This window comes from Homo sapiens, chromosome 22 (assembly GCF_000001405.40).
Source record: "Homo sapiens chromosome 22, GRCh38.p14 Primary Assembly".
Classification (NCBI taxonomy): Eukaryota; Metazoa; Chordata; class Mammalia; order Primates; family Hominidae; genus Homo; species Homo sapiens.
Window position 1 is genome coordinate 18,231,615 of NC_000022.11, and position 7,515 is coordinate 18,239,129.

Sequence of the window (7,515 nt, forward strand, 5' to 3'; positions counted from 1 at the left end):
CGGGTGTGGTGGCTCACGCCTGTAATTCCAGCACTTTGGGAGGCTGAGGCAGGAGGATCACCTGAGGTCAGGAGCTCGAGACCAGCCTGGCCAACATGGTGAAACCCCGTCTCTACTAAAAATACAAAAATTAGCTGGGTGTGGTGGCAGATGCCCGTAATCCCAGCTACTCAGGAGGCTGAGGCAGGACAATCGCTTGAACCTGGGAGGCAGAGGTTGCAGTGATCCGAGACCACACCATTGCACTCCAGCCTGGGTTGCAAGAGCAAAACTCCATCTCAAAATAAATAAATAAATAAATAAACAGGGTTTCATAGGGAAAACACTATGCTAAGTCATTCACAAACCTATTTCTAATAAACACAGATAGTGAACATGCATTAAAGAAGGCTATCTTAGATGAGCCACACCCTGCTAAACACATCGATTCTCAAAGATAATGCAAGGCTCATTCACTCATGGTAGACCTAACTGTTAAACTTAACATTTAAATATGTATCACAGAAGATGGTAGTACCTGAACCTCATGCTTCTAAATGGAATGCTTCACCAATGTAGCATTATTCTCAATCACTCATGCATCTGCCTCACTTCAGTACGGAGCAAATATGTATCAGTGAACAATGTGCCACGTGCGCTATACACGGCCAAACACAGTGGCTCATACAGTTAACACAAGGTGTGGTCAATCACTGACAGAATGGGAATGAGGAATGTGTCCCACTCTCTCAGCTGTTGTATTATATCATACAAGGTGCAGTGACTAAGTTCATTCATGAACCCAGCTCTCTTAAACACAGAAATTAAACACATATATGGGATACAGCACACAGTGTGATTTGTGTCTGCACCTCCCTCGTGCATGTTGTATATTTCATATAATGTAGGTACAAAATGTAACTTTGGTCTTCACCCGCATCAGCTATCATCTATCACAGGTTACATAGCGACATAATACAACTCAGTTCTGCATCACCCTCTGCTATCATATGGTATCATGTGTGACAATGTGACCCGAGGTGAATAATGACTATCCCCTCTCACCTGCTGTATGGTGTCATAAGTGACATTTGTGACTCACATACACTGTGAATCAGGCCCACAACCCTTCTGTCAGTTGTTGCATGATACTGTATGTGCCATAGTGACATAATGCAACTGAGGTCTGGGCTCCTTGATGTCATATAATATCATAAGTGACATGGTGTGAACAAGGCTGCCTCCCCCTCTTGGGTTATCATTGGCTATCATATAGGACATAGTGATACAAAGTGACAAGTGTGTGTCCCCCTCAAGTGTTATATATCACATGTGACATAGAGTAAGGTGAGCCTGAGTCCTTCTCTTGGTTGTCCTAGATTATTTTATTTTATTTTTTTGAGTTACAGTCTCACTCTGTCCCCAAGGCTGGAGTGCAGTGGTGTAATCTCAGCTCACTGCAACCTCTGCCTCCTGGGTTCAAGCAATTCTCCTGCCTCAGGCGCCTGAGCAGTGGGGACCACAGGCGTGCACCACCTCACCCAGCTAATTTTGTATTTTTAGTTACACAGTAACAAATGTGACTGAGGTCTACCTGCGCTCTCAGCTGATGCTGGCACCTTTATTGCCTAGGTGTTTAATGCTTCTCAGGTCTGCATCCTATCTCCCGTCACACACTCTCATATGCTATGTAGGATGAGGACACAGCTGACACACTTAGTCACTGCACCTTGTATGATATAATACAACAGCTGAGAGAGTGGGACACATTCTTCATTCCCATTCTGTCAGTGTAACATAGCATATAGCAGCTGAGAACGGGGTACATCCCTGACTCACATGATGTCACAATGTCACATATGATATCATAAGTCATCCAGTGGGCTAGGCACGGTGGCTGACACCTATAATCCCCACACTTTGAGCCTGCCAAAGTGCCTTTTAAGTGCCTTTCACATAAAGACTATGACACAGCTAAGCTATTCATGTACTAATAAATACCTGCCCTGAGCTGTGTGACCACGGACACCACCCTATAATGTGGCCAGTGTGTAGGAACTCTGCAGGCTCAGATCATTCCAGACATACATGCAGATGTTGGAACTCCCTTGCACAGTGACTCATGATCCCAAGGCTGAGTGCTGAGGGCAGGTCAGTAGTTCAGAGCCTCAGCATTGGGGCCGTATGCTTGGGTTCCCATCTTGGCTCCCACACTTTGGGAGCCCGAGGTGGGTAGATCGCTTGAGCTCAGGCATTCGAGACCAGCCTGGGCAACATGGTGAAACCCTGTTTCTACTAAAAATACAAAAATTTGCCAGGCGTGGTGGTGTGTGTCTGCATTCCCAGCTACTCAGGAGGCTGAGGTGGGAGGATGGCTTGAGCTGAGGAAGCAGAGGCTGCAGTGAACTGCCCTGCTGAGAGTGGAGCTCCTGCTCAGCTCCTAGGAAGGCAAGAGCCAGCAAGGCCACTGCCCAGGCCCCCGAGGGTTCTAGGGGGTCCCATCCCTGGGAAGGTGGAATCTGGGAGGTGAGGGGGACCTAGGACCCCATTGTGTGCACAGCTTGGGCTAAGGCATGAGATAAGACCAGGGTGACAGTACAGGAGTATCCAAGAACTGACTTCACCTAACTTCTGCATTTGACTTCCCATCCCCAATGTGGGTAGGGCCCTGCCCTCTGGCGATTGGAAAGAGGCGCAGGGTGCAAAGAAGTCCCCTCCTCTGACCTCCTGCAGGGCTCCATCTTGGCCTGGATCAGCAGGGGGGCCTGGGCAGGAGGGAGGCTGTGGTCTTGGGATGGGGTGGCAGTTCCAGGCCCACAGCGGGGCAAGAGACATCCTACACCTTCCTCCCATCCTTGCCCCGAAAGTCATGGGCGCTGGGGTTCAAGGTGCCCTCACTATTTGACCTTTCTTGCTGGTGGCTTTGGTGTGTCATTCTGGTCCCCAGCCTCTGTTTCCTGGACTGTAAGTGGGGATAATAATAGGTCACCCCTCCCCTGCAGGATTAACCTCAGCGATTGTTGCTGGCATCAGTGCAGCCCTGGGACCAGAGCACACCTGGGTGAGTTTGGAGCGCTCGCGCTCTTCCTGGTGGCCCTGCCTGGGCACCGACCCCTCCCATCCTCTCCTCAATAGCCACGCCCCTAGCCCAGCTAGCTAATGAATAAATATGTAGTAGCCAGGCCAGCATCCTGGCTCCGAGGTCTAGCCACTTTCTAGTCCTTCCTAGCTGCGGCTGCCACTGAGCCACGCACGCCCCTGGCATCATGCTCGCCTTGCAGTGCAGCTGGTGTGGTGCAGACTCTGAGAGTGAGCACCAGGACTCTTCCCGTCTGGTCTCCAATCTACCCTCTTGCCATGCTCCACCACCCCTTAGGTCTTGCCACTGGGAGTGGGGAGGGACTGGGGAGAGAAAATACTGGGGTAGGGGTGACAGGAGAGAAGGTTCTTCACTGGCCTCCCCTGGCCTAAGCCCCTGGCCTACTTCATTCTTGGACCCCAGTTGATGGGATGGGGCTTGGAGAGGACCCAGATAACTGGTCTCTCAGCTCAGCCTCCTGCCCACTGTCTCTATAGGTGCCTGGTGCTACGACTCCCAGGACCCCAAGTGTGGTGAGGACAGAGTGTCATGTGAGGCTGAGTGACATCAGTCTGTGTCCTGGGACCACCAGACACCATAATACATATTATGTAATATGTATGATACATATTACATAATAAATGACATATATAATATATGATATATATTACATATAATATATGACATATATTACATATATGTGACATATATTACATATAATATGTGACATACATTATATGTAATATATGATATATAATATATAGTATATGATATAAAATATATAATATATGATATATAAGATATATATTATATTACATATAATTATATTATATTATATATATTATATATATCATAATATATTATATAATATATAATGTATATCACAATATATTATATATTATATATAATATATATCATAATATATTATATATTATATATAATATGTCATAATATATTATATATTATATATAATATATAATAATATATTATATATTATATTATTATTATAAAATATATAATACTATATAATGTTATATATAATATAATATTATATAATAATATATAATATAATATTATATAATAATATATAATATATTAGATTATAATATATATTATACTATAACATATTGTATAACATATGATAATATAATATATATTATATATTATATTGTATAAAATATTATATTATATATAATATATAATATTTTATATAAAATAATATATAATATATAGTATAATATATTATATAAAATATTATGTAATATATATTATATATTATATATTATTATCTTGTATATATAATTATATAATTATATATAATTATATATATTATATTATATGTAATAATTATATATAAATATATATTATATCATATGTAATAATTATATATAATTATATATTATATTATATGTAATAATTATATATAATTTATGTATTATATTATATGTAATAAATACACATAAGTATATATATTTTATTATATATAATATTATATATAATTGTATATTATATTATATATAATAATTATAGATTATATTATATGTAATAATTATGTTTTATATTATTTTTAATATTAATTAATATTAATTAATAATAATTAATTTAAAGTATTAATTATTATTTTATATATTATATTATATATTATATTATTTTATATTATATATTATATTATACATAATATTATATATTATATTATATTATATATTATATTATATTATATTATAATATATAATATATTATAATATATTATTATATTATATTACATATTATATTATATATACGTATATATAATATATTATATTATATATACGTATATATAATATATTATATTATATATATTTATATATAATATAATATATTATATATGTTTATATATAATATATTATATTATATAGAATTATATAGAATTACATATTATATTATATAATTATATATATTCATATATATTATATTATATATAATAATACATATTATATTATACATAATATTATATATAATATAAGGATGCAGGATGTAAAAGGAAATTATGTATATGTTATATATATTATATATATTATATTGTATATAATTATATATATATATACTTGTGGGTGCCCTATTTCCCATCTCATAACTTATTTTAAGAAGCCAGCATAATAATGTGTGGGCTTGGGATTCAGTTTTTGAAAGAAAACACTGAGCCTTTGATGACCTTCCTGTACTTGTAAAAGCCCTCCTGTCTGCATGGCAGCAGTTGGACCTCACAGTGTGGATTGTGCCTTCACCCTGGAATGTTTATGCCCTATCGCCATGGTGATGGGATTAGGGATCTCCTGCCCTTGGTCCTAAGTGCCAGTATCTGTGCTGAGTTTTACAAAGGTCAGAGCAGATTGAACCATTGTGGTTTCATTTTCCCTGATTTTGATTTTTCTTATGGGGAACCTGTGTGGCTGCATTCAAGGTATGTTCATACTGGCCTGTCAAATGCGATCTTTTCAAATTACTAGTTAATGCTTTCAAAATGTGTTATTTAAAAAATTAGCCTCTGTATTTTCCATATGCAGTTATAAATATGTTTCATGATTATGTTTTATTCCTCAATTTATATATTTGATTATTGTACCAAGCAGAGTATCTTTGAAATTTTTCTTCATTTAAAAAATATGTATCTTGACTCAGGCCTGTAATCCCAGCACTTTGGGAGGCCAAGGCAAGAGGATCACAAGGAGAGGAGATCAAGACCATCCTGGCCAATACAGTGAAACCCTGTCTCTACTACAAATACAAAAAATTAGCCAGGCATGGTGGCAGCTGGTGTAGTCCCAGTGTGAATTGGGATTCAGTTTATTCCCAAATTCCCAAATTATATATATATATAAATATATATTTTATATAATATATATATATTATATTAAATATATTATATATATACTATATATTATATTATATATAATTATATATATATATTTGTGGGTGCCCTATTTCCCATCTCATAACTTATTTTAAGAAGCCAGCATAATAATGTGTGGGCTTGGGATTCACTTTTTGAAACAAAACACTGAGCCTTTGATGACCTTCCTGTACTTGTAAAAGCCCACCTGTCTGCATGGCAGCAGTTGGACCTCACAGTGTGGATTGTGCCTTCACCCTGGAATGTTTATGCCCTATCGCCATGGTGATGGGATTAGGGATCTCCTGCCCTTGGTCCTAAGTGCCACTATCTGTGCTGAGTTTTTCAAAGGTCAGAGCAGATTGAACCATTGAGGTTTCATTTTCCCTGATTTTGATTTTTCTTATGGGGAACCTGTGTGGCTGCATTCAAGGTATGTTCATACTGGCCTGTCAAATGCGATCTTTTCAAATTACTAGTTAATGCTTTCAAAATATGTTATTTAAAAAATTAGCCTCTGTATTTTCCATATGCAGTTATAAATATGTTTCATGATTATGTTTTATTCCTCAATTTATATATTTGATTATTGTACCAAGCAGAGTATCTTTCAAAATTTTCTTCATTTAAAAAATATGTATCTTGACTCAGGCCTATAATCCCAGCACTTTGGGAGGCCAAGGCAAGAGGATCACAAGGTGAGGAGATCAAGACCATCCTGGCCAATACAGTGAAACCCTGTCTCTACTACAAATACAAAAAATTAGCCAGGCATGGTGGCAGCTGGTGTAGTCCCAGTGTGAATTGGGATTCAGTTTATTCCCAAATTCCCAAATTATATATATATATTATATATATATATATAAAATATATATATATATAAAATATATATATAATGTATTTAATATATATATAATATATTAAATATATTATATATAATATATTGAATATATGATATATATGATATATATAATATATTATATATATTATATACAATATATATTATACATTATATAATTATATATTATGTATATTATATATAATATATAATATATAATTATATATTATATAATTATATATTATGTACATTATATATTATTTATATATATTATATATAATATATAATATATATAATAAATAATATATATATTATATATATCATATAATATATAATATATATAATATATATATAATTTCCTTTTACATCCTGCATCCTTCAACGTTCCATCCCCCACCCCACAGATTAAGTTATTCCCCAGGGGAGAATATGGCAGAGTCTATTTTAATGCAGTTTTTAACCCAATTAAGAACCTACGAAATCATTACTTTCCAAAACTTTGGAACAAAGCCGCAGTAGTATGGATCCGTTGGAGGCTTTTCACACAATAAAATGTACCTCTCTTTGTTTTTAACATGTTTCTCCCTTCCTCTCTTCTTTTTTTGTGAAATGTGTATTTACTTTATTTGTAGTAAGTCACTTCCATGCACATATTAATTTTTTAAAGTAATAAGTATGTGTATTGTCTACGTGTGAAATAAAACACACATTTATTTTTATGCTTTGGAAGTTATCCAGAATCATGGAATT

General features: G+C 35.8%; 1 long non-coding RNA gene across 1 annotated transcript; it reads left to right on the forward strand.

The window, feature by feature from the left end:
* Window positions 1–1,534: 1,534 nt before the first annotated feature.
* LOC105379518 (uncharacterized) lies at window positions 1,535–3,614 on the forward strand. The gene is made up of 3 exons (XR_951228.1): window positions 1,535–2,130; window positions 2,982–3,040; window positions 3,556–3,614. It is a non-coding gene; the product is annotated as an uncharacterized LOC105379518 (long non-coding RNA).
* The last annotated feature ends 3,901 nt before the right edge of the window (window positions 3,615–7,515 follow it).